Source organism: Homo sapiens, chromosome 16 (assembly GCF_000001405.40).
Source record: "Homo sapiens chromosome 16, GRCh38.p14 Primary Assembly".
NCBI lineage: Eukaryota > Metazoa > Chordata > Mammalia > Primates > Hominidae > Homo > Homo sapiens.
This window is the reverse complement of record NC_000016.10, coordinates 79,469,826-79,490,384: the sequence shown is the minus strand read 5'-3', so window position 1 is coordinate 79,490,384 and position 20,559 is coordinate 79,469,826. Positions and strand designations below refer to the sequence as shown.

The following is a 20,559-nucleotide window of genomic DNA, read 5'->3' as shown; positions in this document are numbered from 1 at the left end:
CAGCCCACACAGGTCTTGGGTTTCCTTGGGTATAGAAAGTTTTGATGGATCTCAGTCTCTGGGGTGATGTTTTTATTCCTGCCTCGTTTGAAAGGCTGGCTATTCTATCAAGACGAAGGGAGATTTCCAGCCGTGCCTGTGTCCAGGATATTTTAAAGACGCACAGCAGTTCAGGCAGATCACCTGCAGAATCACTGCCATTTCAACATTAGGGTTCCCTGATGGGTCATCGTTGGCCCTTTTTATCTTTTCACTCTATCTGCTTTTGATTTGAAATATAACTGCCTCCTGGACCACTCTACCTTGCCACACACAGGTGTAGACACTTAGACACACCCGTTCCAAACCAACTTGTCTTTCCTCATGAGATGATGGCTTTCATCCTTGTTAGCTTTTTTCCATCTACCTTATGCTCTACCTCCTGAGCATTTCTAGGGTGCCTGCCCTCCTCTTCAGGCCTTCATCACTGCTCAGCTTCTGGACATTGCCGGGGCCCTGACCACCCTTGTCTCTTTCCAACCTGCCCAGAGTCACCGTTAGAAAAGCTAAGCTGGCTGCGTTTCACACAGACCCATTCCACCTGGCCCTCTGTCTCCTACCAGATAAACCACAAGGACTTTTGTCAGAGCAGAACACTTTCCGTACCCTGAAGCTTTGCCTTCTATTTTGCCCTCATCTTCTGCCCTGCAAGGAAGTTTAACATTCAGCTTCTCGGGCCATCTCTTTGGCCATGTTGTCTTTTCTCTCTGGATCTCCTCTCCACCACTTTCTTTCAGTCTGAGATGTTTCCTCCTCTAAGGAGCTTCCCTGATCACTTAGACTGAATTAGGTACTTCTGTTCCCCAACAGGGAAGTTCCTCCCTCTACTGTTGCCCTTCCCTCATGCAGTAAGATTGCTTGTCTGCTCTCTTTCTGAGAATTTCCCCCAGGGAATCAACTCCTCTTACTCAGCTTTATATCCCCAACTCTTATCACGGGAACTGATGCAAAACACATATTCAGTACACAAAGGATGGATGGATAGATGGATGGATGGATAAATAGATGAATGGGTGGATGGATGAATGAATAAATGGATGGATAAATAGATGGATGTGTGAGTGGGTGGATGAATGAATAAATTGCTGGATAAATAGATGGATGAGTAGATGGATGGGCAAATGGATGGATAGATAGAGGAATAGATGGATGGATAAATGGATGTGTGGATAGGTGGATGGATGTGTGGGGATGGGTGGATGGATGGATGAGTGGATGGATGGGTAAGTGGATGGATAGATGGATGGATGGGTAGAGAGATGAATAAATGATTTTGAATAGTTGCCACGTTTCTCTAGTTTCAGGCATCAACAAATTAAGTTGAGTAGTTGAGGTAGTTCATCTCTCCCTCTGGCTTCATGGCACTATGTTCTCTGCCCTGAAAGGCCAACAGGGCAGTAGAAAAGTCTGGAAGGAGAGATGATCCTGCCTTATTCTTGCCTAGGGCATGACACTAGAGCCTCCTTTCAGTCATTTCAGTTCTTCTTAATTAACTTTTTAATTGAGGTGACGTTCAAGGGAATATTAGTCCTCATGATATGCTCCCGGAAGGTTGATGAACGAGAGGTAAGAAAGCTGCTTTGTGCACTGCATTCTCTAAGGGTGCCTCTGACATAGCAAGACACAGGATAAATTAACTTATAAATGGCTGAGATGCATTGTCCCCTTGAAAGCTGCCTAACTTGAAGACTGACTCCTTCAGTCTCTCTAATAATGGTAATAATATTAATAATAAAATAATTCTAGCAGCCTACAATGTGAGGAGCACCATCTGTGATCCAGATAGCATGTTCGACCCGTTCCTTGTTTTGTTAATGCCATCCTCAGAGTAAACCTGGGTGTTGGTGGAATGTTACATTATAGACTTCCATTTACATAGAGTGATTATGTGGGCTCCAGAACTTGCCACCCAAGGTCACCAGTGTACTAGGTGGCAGGACCAAGCTCCAATCCCAAGCAGTCTCGCCCCAGAGCCTCCTACCTGCACCTGGAGAGTAAGGGGGTGAGAGGAGAGGACCTAACATTTCTGGACACCCAACACGAGGTGTTTTTCTCCTTCCTGGTCCCCTAAAGTCCTCACAAGGTTTGATTTTCTTCATTAATTGGAGGAAAAGGCAGGTTCACAAGGGGTACCCTGGCTGGCTGGCACAAGACAGAACCCAGCTCTCTCCCTCTGCGTGCTCTTCTAACTCAAAATGAGCAGGATGAGTTATCCGTGGTGGCAGCGCCAGGCGTGCCAATGCGTCACTCCAGGTCTCCAGGGACAGATTTTTTAAGTCTTGAGACTTCTACTTTTCGATGCTTGATGCAAATAGTTCTTCCACTGATTTGTAACCACATCCCTTTCAGATAAATGGATTGACAGGCTGTCTAATTTCCTTGTAGTTTCTTAACCTGAGCATTGTGAGCACAGGGCCTTATCCCCTGCGTGGAAAGATTCTCATTTAAAATGCAGGCTGGAAATCTTCATCCATACGCAGAGATGAAAGCAGAGCTGTTTACCATCAAGAGCAAGGGGGAGGGATTCTTAGCAACCACGGGGATTCCCAACAACTTGGGGTGCTCCAGAGTCACCCAGGGTCCTGGCCAAGGATGTAGTCTCCGAAGTTGAGAAGCATTAGGTCTATGTGGACAGTGAGCCATCTTTTCCTCTGCCTTCCCTTCACATTAACCTTTTGCATATTGGGTAATAAAATAGGATTTTTTCCCCGAAGGGTATATGAGAATTATTCATATCTTTGGAGTGGATCCAAACGGACAACGGGGCTTTTTCTTCCTGTTCTTTTTCTTCATTTTAAAAACCATTTCAGGATTGCCCCCAAACAGAAAAAATGCCTTCTTTCAATCATTTAGGTTCTTTTACTTAATTTTTTAATTGAGATTAAATAATACAATAAGATGTGCAATTCTTAAGTGCATGATAGGCCCACGAATTTGTATAGGCACATATACCCATATATCCACCACTCAGATCAAAATATAGAATATTCTCAACACCCAAGAGGGCTCCCTCAGGCTGCTTTCCGTCGATGCCTCCCTTAAAAAACCACTACTCTGACTATTATCATCATAGATTAGTTTTGCCTGACGTTGAACTTCACGAAACTGGAGTCACATGGGAATTTTTTTTTTTTTTTTTGCACTAGTTCATCATTAGAGACAATGTTCTTAGCATTAAAATCTGGAGGTTCTATAACTGAATGGGTCCTACTTACCTAATTAAAAGGTCTTTGTGAAAGTATATAAAACAGTGTTTTGGAGGAGATTTCAATAGATGTTCTTTGCAAAAAGGAGTGGAACTTTAGGCCTCCCCAACCTCTCTCACCTCGACCACCAAGTCAAAACCACTGACTTAAGCTGTACAAAATCTGGGCAGCAGATTTAGGATGGACTGCTTAGAATTTGTTGACTAGTCTACTCAAAATCCACCTTGTAGGAGGTGGAGGGGGACCTCCACAAGTCAGAAGGCCATGGAGTAGCTACGAGTATGATCTGCAATAAACTTTATTTCTCAAACACGTAGCTCTATCCCACCCAAGGTGAAAAGCAACAGGATTGATTTCTTTTAGGATAGTTAATTATTCTTCCAAGTAATGTTACAGAGGAAAGCTAGTGGTCAAATGAATTTAAGAAATATTTTATGCTCTCTCTCTGTCTCGGAGACTCATAAAGCCAATTATTAATTAGCACATTAAAGGCACTGGTAAGTCCTGCTCTAAAGATAGCTGCGTAACTTGGGTTGAATGAGCAATAACCAAACAGCATTTTCTGCAGAACCTTCTTATGCGGGAGAATCTTTTTGTCTCACAGAACTTATTTCCTAGAACCTAGGTACTGAAATCAGGGTGATATGAAATCAGTCTTTGGGTAAAATATTGTTATGTTTATGTTTTAGATGTGAAAAACACATGGCTTACATCTGTATTTTCTCAGATTGTCCTAAGAGTTAAAAATAAAATAAAATAAAATGACCAGGGCGAATCTAAGATCACTTTCAAAACTTTTTCAAAATGTGAGTGAAAATAACCATTTTGAAAAAGTTGGTTTTCTTTATTTTACATAAATTTCATTTTCTCATTCTGCAGCTACTAATTTGGAACTATAGGGGAACCAGAAATGCTTCTCTTGCCTATCACTATATTTCTGCCTCTAACAATCAAGGGAGATGAGCCCCACATGAAAAGAGGGGTTCCTGAGCTGGCAGGGAAAGTTATGGGTGAGCATGGAAGCGATAGTTATTGGAGAGTCATGCGAGACACTCCGTAATCAGGTTTATTATCTCTTTTGACCTTTTATTTTCTCTGTGATGTGTGTTGAAGCAATCAATAAGTGCTCCCAAAATTCCTCCCATTATCCACAGTGGTCCAGATTTTTTGTCTGCAAGATCCTTATAGAGTTCCATCAGTTAAAAATCTATCCCATTATTGGTTGGATGCTTTATTAGTTTTTCAGCAGAAGTCCTTTCTGCTAATTTGCTAATTCATTCATATGCTCTCTGCCAGCCGCTGGCCGCCCCTGGGCCATTTGTAGCTTACTTCTGTTTGGCAAGACACCGAGTCTGTGTGCTGCTTTTAGTTGTATTAAATCTTTTGGACAGAAGGAAGATTCAGGAGGAACCCGACAGATCTTCCTGCTCAGAGAAGACACATTGCAAGTGTAATAGTGGTGCTTTTAAATCACCTGATCTTAAGGTTTTCAAGAGATATTTTTAAAAAAACCTTTTTCTTATAAACTTTTGTTGTCTCAGATTGTCAGTTTGTGCTCATGGACTTACTACAACTAAATTCAATGTGTACTTCATGTACAGTTGTAGGACTGTTGTTATGTGCTGGGCTCAGAGACGGTTATCAGAATGATAAAACTCAGCTCTGGTCCTCAAGGAGCATTCAGCCTGTTTGGAGAGTCAGAGCATCTGTGTAAAAAATAAATAAATAAATACAAATAACTGGTCATAAAATCACAACAAATGGGTGACAGAGAAGGAAAGAGCAGTACTTCCTGTGTGCCAATCGCTGTCGTATGACTTTGAGTATCTTAACATATTTACTCCTCAAACAACCCTATGAGGCAAGTAGTATTATTATTTCTGTTTAAAGGTGAGAAAACTGAGGCACAGAGAGGTCAAAACACTTGCCCAGGGTCACACAGCAAGTAGTGGCAGGGGTGGGGTTTGAACACAGCCTTTAAAGAGATCACTGTTCCTGGAGGAAACTGGCTTTTATCTGGTATCTATACCACGTCTCATGCTAAATTCTTTGACTTATTTATCAGGTTAATTTTCATAAAAGTCTAATCAGGCAATCAGGCCAAGAAGCATGATGTCCATTTTTATAGATAATAAATTGAGGCAGGAAAGTTGAGCAGCTTACCTGGGGCCACAGAACTTCTAATGGCAGGTCCAAGGTGCAAAGCCAGATCTGCCTGGTTCTAAATCCTGTTCAGCTGTACCATGCTTGATGCTGCTGGGAGGCCAGACCTTCAGGTCCTTTCTCTGGTTAAGTAGCTTTTAGTGAAAATGCATTCACACACATGCACACACACACACGTGCACATGCACACATGTCACCCCTTTTCCGCAGCTGCCAGCTGCTCCACCGGCTCTAGCTGTGGAGTATCATCACCAGCAGGCCAGTGTGAGCAGCTCCCACCCTGGCCCTTTTGTGAGAACTGAGCCCAAAGCTGGACCAACGAGGGGTATCATAACTCCACCTGACCCAGGCTGCCATCTGGAATATGCCCTGGGCCTTTTCCAAGGGAGGCTGTCTCCTGTTCCCCTTGTTAAAGTGAAGGGCTGAGCCCTTCCCTCCCACCATAGCAGGGACCAAAGACTATGAAAAGTGAACCTGGCTGACCCCTGGTAAGGACTCAGCCCTGTGATTGCCCGGTGGACGTGTCTGTGGCCAGAAAGGCTGAGTCACCTCTGAGGTCATCTGCAGATACACTGGCTCTGCTCCTTCTTCGGCCACCATGGCCTGGGTCACTTGAGCCCTCTGGTTCCTGGGTGGGGAGGTAGTGGTCAACGAAATCCAAGTTGGGAGGCATTGTCACACCAGCCTTGTCACGCCAGCCTCGTCATCACCAGTTGACTAAGAAGACGGAGGGCATTCAGTGGATTCTCAGGGGACCTGGACGGTTGCCTTGGTTCTGATGTTTGTTTGATAGGTGACTGTCGGCAGGTCCCTTAACTCTGTGCAAGACTTATTGTCTTCCAGGTGGTCCAACAATAGACCCCATCAAGGGGTGCTGTGCCATTCAGTTAGAGAGAGAATGGGAGGAAGCTCTCAAAGGAAATACCTGGCACCTGCTGGTTGCTATCACTAGCCTGATCCCTTGCCCTCACTCCATCTAACACACTTTTTCCATCCCTACCACCACTGGTATTTGTCAAGTTGGCCACTCTACCAGGAGGGGTAACACATTCCTGCCTTGCCTCTCAGGAGCCAGCCAGAGAAGGGGACAGAAGGCGAAGATGACCATATCACTCTGCCTGTCGAATAAGACCACCATCACATTGCTTATTTGCTCACAGGATGGAGACCTTATTCTTTCTCAGGGTCTCAAAGATCTTTCTGCTTATCCAGCCCCAGAAGCTTGCCTGGCTTCCCCTCTCTCTCTATGCCTGCCATACAGCCCTGTGAGCTACATGATTTGAGCTACATGAACCCTTAACCTCCCTCTTCTAGCAGGATCTTTGCATCTGCTGCTACCTCTGCTAGAACAGACAGACATACTTATTCTCATTCTCAATTGTCACTTCCTCAAAGAAGCTTCATGACCTGGTCAATCTTGCCCATTCTATTCTCTTCTAATTCCGTGCACCTCTTCCTCTTAGCACTTCACGTTAATTTAACATTGCTTCCCCTCCGGGCCTGTCCACTCCATGCCAGCATGGACAATGGCTTTGGGTCTTCCCTTCACTTCCCTTCCTATCTTCCTTCCTCTGTTTTCTTTCCTTTCCTTTGCTGTCCTGTTCTATTCTGTCCTGTCCCTTCTCTGCCATTGTATCCCTATTTCCTCACACAGTGTTTGTTCACAGAGGTCTTAATGCATAGTTTTTGATTAATGGAAGGAAGGAGATAGGGAGGGACGGGGGAGGGGAGAGGAGAGAGGGAGGGAGGGGGAGGGGAGGGAGGGAAGGAGGGACAGAAGGAGGGAGGGGAGGGGAGAGAGGGAGGGGATGGAGGGAGTGGAAGGGGGGAGGGAGGGAGGGAAGGAGGGAGGGAGGGGAGGGAGGGAAGTAGGGACAGAGGGAGGAAGGGAGATAGGGAGGGATGGAGGGGAGAGGAGGATGGGATGGAGGGAGGGGAGGGAGGGAGGGGAGGGAAGAGACAGAGGGAGGGAAGGAGGGAGTGAGGGGAGGGGAGGGAGGGAAGGAGGGACAGAGGGAGGGAGGGAGATAGGGAAGGAGGGGAGAGGAGAGGGAGGGAGGGAAGGAAGGAGGTAGGGAGGGAAGGAAGGAGGGAGGGAGAGGAGGAGAGGGAGGGAGGGAGGGGAGGGGAGGGGATGGAGGGGGGTATGATGTATGCCCTACTGAGTCTGGCATCTGCTGCAAGAAGCTGCCAGATTCCCCACTCCTTGAACCCCTCATTGGGTGCATGGTTAGAGGCAGCCCTGCTCAGCGGGGCACTGGGAGACTGGTGATTACCTCCAGCAGCCACCACCCCATCCTGGGGCAGGGCCACGCTGTGAGCATGCTCCGTGCTTCACTGCTGCATGGAAATGATCACTGAAAGTTTGATGATGTGTGGGAAGGAGCAGGTGGTGATGAAGTTGGTGAACTCCTCATTCTGTAATGGACTGGAGACTTCCTCATCAGATTGTGCTCCTTCTTATCAAGCAGGAAGCTGGCAGGCTGTGTTTTAATCAATTGATAGCATCACTTGGCATCCAGCAGCCAGCTCAGGTTTTGTAAAAGACCAGGTCGCTGATTTGACAATCTCTCCACCCTTGCAGAGATTTCAGGTTGGGGCAGAAGGCGGTGGTAAGCCTTCTCCTGGAACACTGGAGAGGTGCCAAAGCTTTGCTCTCCACACTTCCCCAACAGAAGGAAATGAACCCCCAGAAAGATGGGAAAAAGAGAAGAAGGAAAGTGCCAAGAATGTTTTGAGGGAAATGAAACTGTCATATGACTGTGGTCTCCCCTTATTAGGAGGACAGGCTGTTAGAAACCAGGATAGGTTCTGCTCAAAACTGAAGTCAGTTGAGTCTCTTTAATAAGGATCTTGTCAATGCGTCCAACCCTCTGCAGTTACAAACACTTTTCACATCTCTTTTTCTTTTCTTGCCTGCCCCCGAACCCCTGCAGGCCTCATCCCATGACCCAGCAGTTTTTGCTTTCATCATCCATCCTTTGTCTGCAGTCTCTCCCAATTCCAGGGTGACCTCCAGTCTTGTGTCTGACAAATTTTCTCTAAGTCTGAGCAGGTCGCACCTGCTTCGATGGTGGCCTTTCTTATGTGCTGTTGAAGTAACACCTTCCTGTGACTGTCTCCCCTACCCAGATGGAGGCTTCTCAAGGTGGCATTGCTCTCCATTCTAGTGCCAGGGCTAGTACTGGGTCTGGGATGCAGAAGGAGCTCAAAACATATTAATGAATAAGTGAGTACCTGCATGGATGTATAGATGGATGGATGGGTGGGTGGATGGCTGAATGGGTGGATAGGTAAATTGGTGGATGAATGCATAGGTGGATGAGTGGATGGGTGGGTGGATGGGTAGATGGATGGATGGGTGAATGGATACCTGGGTTGATGGATGGGCGAATAGATTGATGGGTAGATGAATGGATTAAAAGGTAGTCAATGGGTGGATGAATTTGAGGATGGATGGGACTGTTAGGGGCATGGAGAGGTAACGTCTAGGGGGTGTAGGCAAATCTATAGAGACGGGAAGTAGATGAGTAGTGGCCTAGGGTTTGGAGGCAGAGAAATCACTATTCATGGGGTATGTGGTTTGCAGTTGTGGTGGTAAAAATGTTCTAAATTTAGAGTAGGGTGATGGTCGCACAACTCTATAAATAACTTAGAGCCCATTAAACTTCTCACTTTAAATGGGTGAATTTTATGATACATATATAAGTTGTATCTCAATAACAGTGTTAAAAAAAAAAAACTGTTGTGGAAAGAGAACAAAGAGTAAAGGAGTGTGAGTTCCCGTCCTGGAGAGATTTGGGTAGTAAGTGATTGAACAGGTGTGTACTGAGGCCAAGCAACACATGGGCTGTCAGCCAGTGGGAACAGAACAGAATTCTGTCCTATGGAGCTTACATTCTGGTGGTTAGGACTGATACTAAGTGAATAAACATACACACTACAGGTTGTGTTAAGGGTAATGAAGAAAAGTAAAGTGGAGCGAGGGGACGTGGAGTTGGGGGTGCTTTTTTGATGGTGTCACAGAGCAGAGATGTGCACCAAGCACAACTGCCCACCCATCTCCTCATCCACATCTCTGGCTTGCAGTTTTGAACTGCCCAGTCCCACGGTCCTATCCAAACAGATGTTGGGAAATGTCATCCAACTGTTTTCCCAGAGGAAGGGAATGGGGTTTGATGAACACATCATTATCTATTCTACACTCACCTTCCATGTCTGTCTTTTGCTGGGACATAGCCTTTGGTTCATGGTACTCTGACCCCACACCTCCAGGCCATCCCTGTCCAATGCCAGCTCTGTTCCTGGCTTCTGAGATCCCATCTCAGATAGAGATACCTCTCCCCAACCCTTCTACCCTCCCTCCATAGTGAGAACTGATAAAACATCTGAATGCCAGGTACCAAATAGAGCACTGCACTTGGATGTTGGGAAGCCCAGCTCGAATGGCCTTTGGACAGTTTTTCTCCTACATGCTGATTTCCACACTTCTGAGCTGTGGCTTAGAGGAAGACTCGTCTCCCTTCTTTGCCCCTTCTTCCCTTGCTTGTCTCAATCTGGGTCACACTAGTTTGTGCTTGGAATTGGCTTTTTTTATTTTAAAATCCAAACGAATTAAAAATGTATTTTGCAAAAGAATGAAAAAAAAAATTGTATTTCAACTCAGCTGAGAATTCTGCCTGCCCAGTTTCACCCGGAAAATAATTGAAACCGACAACGTGTTACTAATTGGGGAATTTGAGCAGTCCTTTCCGTGTGCCATGGGTTTTCAACAGACTAGCTCCAACGAGTGGATACTCACGCGTTTACTGTGTTGGAAACAGAGGTTCTGAGAGGTGGTATCTCAGCCAGACCAAGCAAAGCAGTCAAGGAGTATCTGGGTACAGGCCAAAGATTCTATTAATCTTACACCCTGGAGCTTGACCTAAGGGAGAGAGTAGAATGGGTGTCTATGAAATCCTTCAATTGTAGAGCTGCCGGTATCCTTTTTCACCAGCAGCTTATTTCCTAATCAGCTGACCATTGAAAACCTGCTGGAAGTAGTGTAGGACTGTGGACACTTGGGCTGTAAAGGCCTGGTTCAAATCCCAGCCCTGTCACTAATTAACCCTGTGATTTGACCCAAGTGACAATTTATTGAACCACCAGTTTTCTCATCTTAACATGAGGTCAACAATGCCAACAAGATACAGAATTAAAGCATGGATATAGAGTACCAGCACAGACCTTAGCACGTAGTAGTCTGGTTCCTTCCTTTCTCTCCTGTGGGAAATACCAAATTCTGCCTAGCATATAAGGTAGGAAGAGTTTTCACATACTCAGTACTGTGATCCGCATAACTGGCCTGATTACCCTTCAGATACAGGCAAGTTGGCTTGGCTCGGCTCTAGAGAGGGGGACGAAGGATTCCCGCTGTCAGCAGGGAGTCAATCCCTTGCAAATGCAGTTATCGAAGCTTGCAGTGATGGCCCCGCCCTGACAAATTCCATTCAAGTACAGAACCACAGAAATGAACTACTGGAGTGCCAAGGCAGGTCTTAAAACGGATGCTCAGTCAAACATTTGAAATTGATCATTCACTTGTTCAGAAAACACATATCCGGGAAAAGGTATGATAGTGGATTTTATGGCGCCTACATGGGGATGGTACACTGCTACATTGTCATGGAACATAGGTATGCCATGATGGTACAACAGGATGGTAGAAAGGTATGATGGTACAAAGGTATGACACAGGTAGGCTGGGGTTGTGCATGGGTGCACTAAGATATGATATAGGTATGCTGGGGTGGTGCACGAGCACATTAAGATGGGATACGGGTATGCTGGGGTGGTGCACAGGTGCACCAGAATGGTATACAGATATGCTGGGGTGGTGCACGGGTGCACTAGAATGCTATACCAATGTGCTAGAGTGGTGCACAGGCACACTAGGATACTATAAATATACGCTGGGGTGGTGCACAGGTGCACTAGGATGCTATACAGGTATGCTGAGGTGGTGCACGGGTGCATTAAGATGGTGTACAGGTGTGCTGGGGTGGTACACAGGTGCACTAAGATATAGAAGTATACTGGAGTGGTGCACAGATGCACTAAGATGGTATATAGGTATGCTGGTGTGGTGCAAAGGTGTCCCATGATGGGATACAGGTATGCCAGGGTGGTGCACAGGTATCGTAGGATGGTATACGGGTATGCTGGGGTGGTGCCCAAGTGGACTAGGATGACATCCAGGTATGCTGGGATGATGCACTGGTGCACTAGAATGAACCCTGGGATGCTACACAAAGATGCAGGCATTTGGCATTGGGATGGAACACTAGGAGAGAACACTGGAATGACACACGGGGATAGTACACAAGTGATTGTGTGGTATACAGGGGTGGTTCTCTGGGATGGTACAAGATCCTATAAATAAAGAGTCAAAATAGACTCTCACAGGGGTCCCAGCATTGCCACATCTAAGACCTATCCCACTGCTAGTGATTGTGGCTGACAGTGGTGATTGTGTTCTTCTCTGTTGGAACCCGGTAGCCATGGATGACTGTAGGCTTTGGAAACAAACTGCCTGGACTCCCATTCTGGTCCCACCACTCTTGGCCATTTGACCTTGAGCAGCTTCCTGAGCTCCTGTAGACTCTACCACATCTATAAAATGAGAAAATAGGAAACTTTCTTTGTAGCCCTGTAAAGTGTGGACACAGGAATGTGTGAAAAGCAAATCACAAGGCCTCGCTCAAGGCTAACTGTGATTGAGGATTGGCCATTGTAACCTGTAGCACAGGATGACGGGGAAGGGAGTTTGGAAATATTGACAAAGTTTGACATTTGAGTTTCACTACTCAGTAGTCTGGAGGCTGTGGGCAAGGTGCTCTCTAAGCTTTAGTCTTCTTATTTATAAAAGAGTTAATCATACCCAGCTCTGAGTATTTGTTTATTACCTTAAAAGTCACGGCCAGGCGCAGTGGCTCACACCTGTAATCCCAGCCGTTGGGAGGCTGAGGCAGGAGGATCACGAGGTCAGGAGTTCGAGACCAGCCTGGCCAACATAGTGAAACCCCGTCTCTACTAAAAATACAAAAATTAGCTGGCCTGGTGGCACGCGCCTGTAGTCCCAGCTACTAGGGAGGCTGAGGCAGGAGAACTTCTTGAGCCCAGGAGGCGGAGGTTGTGGTGAGCCAAGATCACACCACTGCACTCCAGCCTGGGCAACAGAGCGAGACTCCATATCAAAAAAAAATTTAAAAAAAAAATGTCACTTAATTCCACAATGAATTTCAAGCAGCTTGCAGAATCTCACAGAATAAATAAGATACGAATACATGGATAATTCAGGTGAAGAGAAAACCAGGGTTGATTAAGGAAACAAAAGCAGCTATAGGAATGTTAAGGCTCTAAGTGTTCATAAGGCAACTGTGACCATGCTTGTCATGTGGTACAAACTCAGTAAATACTTAGTTCCTCTCCTACTGTGAACACAGGCTTTCAAGGTGGTTTTCTCATGCTGGAAGAGAATATGAGGCAAATGATGTTTCCTACGCAAGACAGCCAGGCTCGTGGAGGCTGGCCTTCTTTATTCTGTGCAAAGCTGATCCGTCTGGCCCTACCCACTGGGCGACTGAACAGCCACTTCAATTTCTCTGTTCAGCAAATCTGTGCCCATCCTCAAACCCATGCTCCAGGGTCCTGCTTCTCTTGAAGTGGCATCTTTTGGCCACAAAGCATGACAGAGGCTCTGGTGGTCATTAAAATGATCCAGTGGCACCTTTTCCCCAAGAAGAGGAGTGTCATTGACAGCTTCAGCCATTGCCAAGTTCAAATTAACGTAATTGTATCAGTTCCCACTCTGGGTCCTTTCAACCATTGCTTTGCTAGCATCCTTGTTCCCCTCTTGCCCTGGAGTGTTCTGGGGACTTCTATTGGCCTTGTCAGAAATGCCTGATGTCCCTGAGGTGGGACTCATCACCTGTGGCAGGTGTGGATGGCACTTGACCTTCTGGAGCAAGATGCCCAGAAAAGACCTATAAGATGGCCGTGGATGATAACGCGACTCTCAAAGGCCACTCTCCTCAGACCTGCACACAGGAGCTCCCGCAGGAAATGACATTTTTTAAAAAATGTCAGTGATGGAGACACCAAGGCACAGAGATGACAGGCTTCATTGCCTAAGGTTACCCAGGTAATGGGTGACAGCAGCCTGGTACCATGTGACTCCAAGTCTACTCACTCACTGTCATCTTGTCAGCCTTCTCACCACAGTTGTCTCTGCCTTCCCCCCTAACATAGGTAGGCACTTTGAATATCCAGATGCTCCTTTTCGCCCTCACAACTTTCTTAGGAGTGAATCCTCCTTTCCCTCTCATTTGGAAGATGAAAAATCTGAGGGTCAGAGAGAACATGTAAATTTGCCAAGACCACAATGCAAGAAAGGAGCAGAGTTGGGAGTCAAATCCAGGTCTATGTCCCAATCTTAAGAAATGCACTTCACTCTTTCAAATGTCGATGCACACTTCATTTCATTGTTTGAACTTTCTATTGCAGAAAAATTTAAACATATGTAAAGTATTGTATCAGTTGCCTATTGCTGTGTAGCAAATCACCATCAATTCAGCAGCTAACATTTATTTATCTCACAGTATATTATCCCACAGTTTTATCTCACTTGTTATCTCAAAGTTTCCATGAGTCAGGGGCCTGGGCATGACTTACCTGTGTTCCCTGGCCAGGGACTCACAAGGTTGCAATCAAGAGGGTCTCATCTCTGGCTCCAGGTCTTTTTCTAAGCTCACGTGGTTATTGACAGAACTCCCTTCCAGCTAAAAACTCATGGAGGCTTAATTCTTTGAGGCCAGCAAGAGAAAGTTTCTGCTGCTTTGAGTCTCAGAGTTCGGGGAAGCTTAAATTCTCTTCCAAGCCATCACCTGGTTAGGTCAGGCCCACCTAGGATCATCTCCCTTTTGATTAAGTCGAACTGATTAGGGACCTTGATTACATTTGAAAAATATCCCTGCACCTTTTCTATCTAATGTAACATAATCACAGGAATAATATCCCATCATATTCACAGGCCCTGACCCCACTCAAGGGAAAGAGATTTTACAAGAGCACAGGCCACACAGGGGTCGTCTTAGGATTCTGCCTGCAACAAGTGTAACAAACCCTCATGAACTCATCACACAGCTTTAAGAATGGTTGTCATTCTGCCATTCTTGCTTCACTCCACACCCCCACTTAATCCTTATTCATTTTTACAGATTTTAAGGTGAAATTTATATACATTGAAATGCACAAATCTTAGCTGCCCAATTTTGACAAAGAAATGAGCCCCACATAACCCACACCCTTATGAATAGTTAAAATATTTCCATCTCCATCTCCCCCAGGAAATTCTTTCATGTTCCTTCCTACTCAGAGCCATATAGACAGACAGACAGATGGATAGATAGATCGATAGACAGGCAGAAAATATACACAGACATTTGAAAATATATAAAGTGTACATGGATATTTGAAAGAGTGAAGTGCATTGTTCGTTTAAGATCCTGGACATAGACCTGGATTTGCCTCCCAAATCTACTTCTTTCTTGCATACACACACACACACACACACATATATATACATACATATATATATATATCTCCATATATATATGCACATATATATGTGGGTCTGAGAATTAATTAATAATATATATATTTTTTCTTATTTTATTTTAAAGCTAATTCTAGGAAGTACCTAGGACCATACCTGGCAGAGTGTTAGCAACGGATAATTGTTAATCTTCCTTCCAATTCTTCTAAACTCGAGTTTGTGTTTATTATGAGATGCCACAAAGGCAAAGAGAAGGGACACTGCTGAGCTGCACAAGCCCTGGAGAGGAGGCTTCCAGAAGCGCTTTGGTCGGGATGCCTGGTGAGGCCAAGGCCATGTGTGCACTGCCTTACTGTTAGCGATAGACAGAATGAACATCTTCTGCTACCAGCACAGTGTCTACAAAGCATGGGAGGTTCTTTGATCTCTGTTGGATTAATGCACACATTTCTAGTTGCTAGGATGTGTATTTGAATTAGATGATGGTGAATCACACTCCTTTGCTTTTAGATCTCTCCTGATACAGTGATGGCAACAGGCTCTAGACATGGCTCAGAATGGGGGTGAGGAGGAATCTTATCCTTGATTTCCTGACATGGGATGGTCCCTTCTTGCCTCCAAAAAGTAGGTCTGGGTCATGCTCATGCTCAAGGATTTCCTCCTTCACCAGCAAAAAATAAATATTCAACAAGAAGGAGTGTGGCATCCAGATGGGACAAAAAAAGAAAAAGAATGAGGTATCAGACAGACAGATTCCAACGCTGTGATTTGAACCCATTTATATTAACACCTGAGGCTCTCCCTGCACGTCTCCTAGCCCAACCTTATCAGCCTTTTATGGGGATCGAAAGCAAGCATGCTGGGCTTGGCAGAAAGCACCTGAGCCCACACCATTCCCTTCCCCTTGCCTCGGATTTTAACATCCACCCTTGCTGGCTTGTCTGTCTGCCCAGCCAGCCAGGCACTTGCTCAGCCATCTCTCACCATTTAATACATATGAGGGATAGAAATATGTGGATTCATCAAGCATGATTTCTGCCCTTTGCAGGGGAGATAGGCATTTTTATAAATGGTAATAGTACAACCAGGCAAGGATAATTTCCCCCAAAGAGGCGAATACAAAATGCGTTAAGGTTTCCAGCAGGATCATTTTCTTCTATGCCATGTAGAGAGATTTGGAGGAGGGGGTAGCCCTTGAGCTTTAATTTAAAGACCACAAATAATTCTAGGTTATCCCTCCACCTCCTTCTATTCCTTCTCCTATTTCCTCATCATTTCTTCCTCTCCCCTGCCTCTTTCCTTCTAGGAGATTATCCATCTTCCTCTCTCCTGTGCCCTCTGTCTTTTGCCCTCTCCCTTTCCTTATAGACATAAGAATGCTCATCCCTACTAAATAAACTACCTGCCGTAATTCCTCCCCACTCGACCACTTTATAAACCATAACCCCCAATCCCTTGAGCCTGGAGACGTTATGAGAAGAATCCCACAAAGGGCAACACTGATGATTTCTCATTTAATTTTTCCAAAGATTTGATTTTTTTTAAATTTAAAACTCAAAAGTGCCATTAAAGCCCTCACCCAGATCAGCTGTATCTTTAAGTGTAAAATCCATTTCAGTCGGCAGAGCTTGCGATACGGTTAAGTACTTATTTTTATTGTCTGTCTGGGCATGGTTTTTAACTGCAGGTGGAGAATAAATCAATAATGTCATAAAGACATGCTCACCCCGTGCCCTTTCCACAGCCTGCTCTGGAGTGCTGAACTCAGGAGAGAGGCTGAGGTCTGCATGCCCTGAATCGTGCAGTGGGTAGGAGGCTGGTAGATGTGTCCTCTCTCCATGCCATTTTATCTGACATTGTTTGGCAAAGGCTGTGCATTTTTTATGGTTTTCCCAACTGTTTGCAAAGGGCAACATCCGCTTGCTGTTTGCACCCATGAGAGGCTATGATTGTGTCCTTCCTGCTGCAAGAGGCCCAGAGGTAGCCCCACTCCTCTAGGACGGACCCTGAATTGTTAAAAGGAGTGAAGTTCCTGGAACAATCATTGTTATATTAAATGCCTGGGTTGCCACCGTGGATTTTGGCATCTTGAGAGAGTTCCTCCATTCATTCCTTTTGTGGGCATGCAGACATCTGGGACCTGCAAAGAGAAATGAGGACTCCCTCCCCCTCCACAGAGGATATGACTGCCTGTGGCTGTTCCTCCCACGATGTGTCTGGACTATCCCTACGCTGAGCCAGGGGTGTGAACGACCAGATGGCCATCGACACCATCAAAAAAGGCATCCCCAGTTCCATGTCCCCTCACTCTACTTTTCTTCGTTCCCCTTATCACAACCTGTAGTCTGTACATTTATTTGCTTAGCGTCAGTCCTTCCCACCAGAATGTAAGCTCCATAGGACAGAATTGTGTTGTGTTCACACTGGCTGGTGCGCCATATGGTACCGGGCCTCGGTACACACCCATTCAATCACTGACTACCCAAATCTCTCCAGGACAGGAACTCATGCTCTTTTACTGCTTGTTCCCTCTCCATGGCAGGGTTTTTTCTTTCTTTCTCTCTTTCTTTCCTTCTTTTCTAACATTATTGACGTACAATTTATATACATTACTATAAAATTCACCAATTTAAAGTGTGACATTTAATGGGCTTTTGTATATGTATAGAGTTGTACAACCATCGCCCTACTCTAATTTTAGAACATTTCTACACCCTAGAAGGAAACTCCATACCCATGAACAGTCACTCCCCATTTCTTCTCTGCCTCCAAGCCCTAGGCAACCACTCATCTACTTCCTGTCTGTATAAATTTGCCTACAGTGGACATTTTAAAGAGATGGAATCATACAACATTGCTCTTTGTACCTGGCTTCTTTCACTTAGTATATCTTTTCGAGGTTTCCCCCTGATGTGGCATGCATTTGTATTTTGTTCTTTTGATTATGGAATAGTATTCCATTGTATGGATAGAACATATCTTGGGTATCCCTTTAGTAGTTGATGGACATTCGGGATATTTCTACTTTTTGATTATTATGAATAATGTCTTTATGAGTGAATTCACATAGAAGTCTTTATGTAGACACGAATCTTCATTTCTCTTGGGTAGATTCCCAGGAGTGGAATTGCTGGGTCTCTAATGGCATTTTGTCAATTTAGCCCTGTAATATATTTATTCTTCTCTCCATTATCAGCCTTTGAGCTGCTTGAGGGTTGACTGGGGATTTGAGTCATCTAAATATTTCCATAAAATCTGATCTAGATGCTTACATATGGTGGCTCCTTGTAAACCATTCCAGAGCAAAGGAAAGAGAGGGAAAGAGAGGTCAGGCTGAAGCCAAGGCCTGCAGCATTAGGGGAGAAGCAAGGAAAAATTGCTGTGGAGTCTTTCCTAACTAGAAAGCTACACTTTGTCTTACGCATGAGGGAGAAAGCATGTCTGCACTTAGCAAGGCCATTTTCCCCAAAGTTGTCAGTGATGTCACTCATATCACCTGGTAAAAGTTTTTTCTTCTAACAATAATTGTTATTGTACCCATTATGGAAAATTTGATAATACAGATCAATAAAGAAGAAATTGGATTACCTATATAGTGACATTCCTGACATGACCACTTATCAGCTGTCCTAGGCAAACACTATGACATCAGCAAACCTCAGGGCTTTTTTACTTGTTTGGGTTTTTTTGTTTGTTTGCATTTCTGAGACAGTGCCTTGCCGTGATGCCCAGGCTGGAGTGCAATGGCATGATCTCAGCTCACTGCAACCTCTGCTTCCAGGGCTGGAGCCATCCTCCTACCTCAGCCGCCCTAGCACCTGGAACTACAGGTGTGCACCACCATGCCCAACTAATTTTTGTGGGTTTTTTTCTAGAGACAGGAGTTAGCCTGTCTTTACAAAAGACATGTTGCCCAGCCTGAGCTGTAACTCCTGGGCTCAAGCAATCTGCCTGCCTTGGCCTCCCAAAGTGCTGAGATTATAGGCATGAGCCATTGTGCTCTGCCTAAACCTTAGTTTTTTACATCTGGAAAGTGTGAAAAAATAACAGGGAGTGCTGAGAATTTGGAGTTGAGGGTTCTGTCGTGCTCTTCATGACTGCTTAGATGTTTTGTATCTGTAAGATAAGGAAAAAAGTAAGCAGATTAATGGGTAGAGAAGCTCTGCTGTAAAGCACAGGAACTTGCTCCTTCTGCCTCTCCATCTTACCCTGCAGGTATGCCTCCTTCCTCCACAGGCGTGGGAGTGGTCAGCAGGAAGGCAGGCCAGGTAGGAAAGTCCAGCAAATGTGTACCTAAAAGATGGCATGGACCTGGTAATTAAACACACATCTGCAAGAATGATGGTGAAGACTAGGGTGGGAGGTGATGTGATATGAACATGACGATGATGGTAGCTTTCATTGCTACCATCTTCCATGCATTATATAAGATACTTTATTCATTCTTTTCCAGTTAACTGAATAATTTGAGTGCCTCTCACTGCATCAGGTTCTTGGGATACAGAGATGGATGAGAAATGGTGACAAATAGCAGTAAAACACACTAGTTCTGGCGTCAGCTAAACTTCAGTCATCCATTCATCCGTTCACCCATCCATCCACCCATTCAACAGATTCAAGAGGGAGTGCCTTCTATGGCCCCAGCATCGTGTTGGACAATGGAATCCTGGCTGTCTTTCCTGTAGTACATGAAGCCAATTCTTAAACTCTTTAAGTCTCAGTTTTCTCAGCTGATAAATGGGAAGAATAATACCCAGTAAGTTCCACTGGGTTGCTATGAGAACTAAATAAAATATGCTTAGCACAGTACCTGAATGAGTTGGCTGCTGTTGTTTAGTAATAGTATTTGTATTTGCATTGGAAGATATGGACCTGCCCTCCAGGAACTTGTGGTGGGGGCTGGTACATGGCCTTTTGCTTCCCTAGCTGTTTCTCTAGCCCACAGTGGAGTGGGCAGCTCTTTCTGCCATGCCCTAGTTGCCATCCTGGTCCCCTGGGCCCTCTGAGCTGAGCCCCTGGGGGGGCTCAGTAACATGACCTGCCCTGGACCCATCCCCTAACTTTGCCAGGAAAGGGCGGATGGGCGTCCTCATTGGCAAGGATCCGAGCAGGGCAAGTGTTGGGGTTCAGAGGACAAAGGAAAGGGACATTTCAAGGAAGTTCCCACTTCCTCAGAACCAGAGTTCCTATCTCCGCCGCTCATGTGATCTATTGGGACATTTTTCATGTTCCAAATGTAAGCACATCCCGGAAAAATGCCAGTGTTGGTCTTGTGATGAAATGTCTTTCTTTACAAATGCCTGACATGGCCTGAGAGCCTGGAGGATGGCGAGCAGAAGGAGCAGACCGCACGTTTCTGAGCGAGGTAGAGATTATATGTTCCCATCCTTATTCACTTTTCTAAACTTAAGATAACTTATGTCTGTAAAATGGGAACAAAATGTGCCCTGTCATGAGGTGGTTTATGAGTTTAAATGAGACCCTGTAGGCCAGGCGCGGTGGCTCAAGCCTGTAATCTCAGCACTTTGGGAGGCCGAGGTGGGTGGATCACGAGGT

General features: G+C 45.3%; 1 protein-coding gene across 5 annotated transcripts in view, besides 1 other annotated feature; it reads left to right on the top strand.

Moving 5' to 3' along the window:
* MAF (MAF bZIP transcription factor) overlaps nt 1-20,559 on the top strand; it is a 398,116-nt gene that overhangs the window by 110,353 nt on the left and 267,204 nt on the right. The window lies entirely within an intron of this gene.
* Nucleotides 7,672-7,882: a silencer, noted in NCBI's record as "fragment chr16:79516400-79516610 (GRCh37/hg19 assembly coordinates)". NCBI's record gives its function as "represses an EF-1alpha promoter that drives an FKBP-Casp9 reporter gene in an ReSE screen in HepG2 liver carcinoma cells {active_cell/tissue: HepG2}" and the evidence as "EXISTENCE:reporter gene assay evidence [ECO:0000049][PMID:32094911]".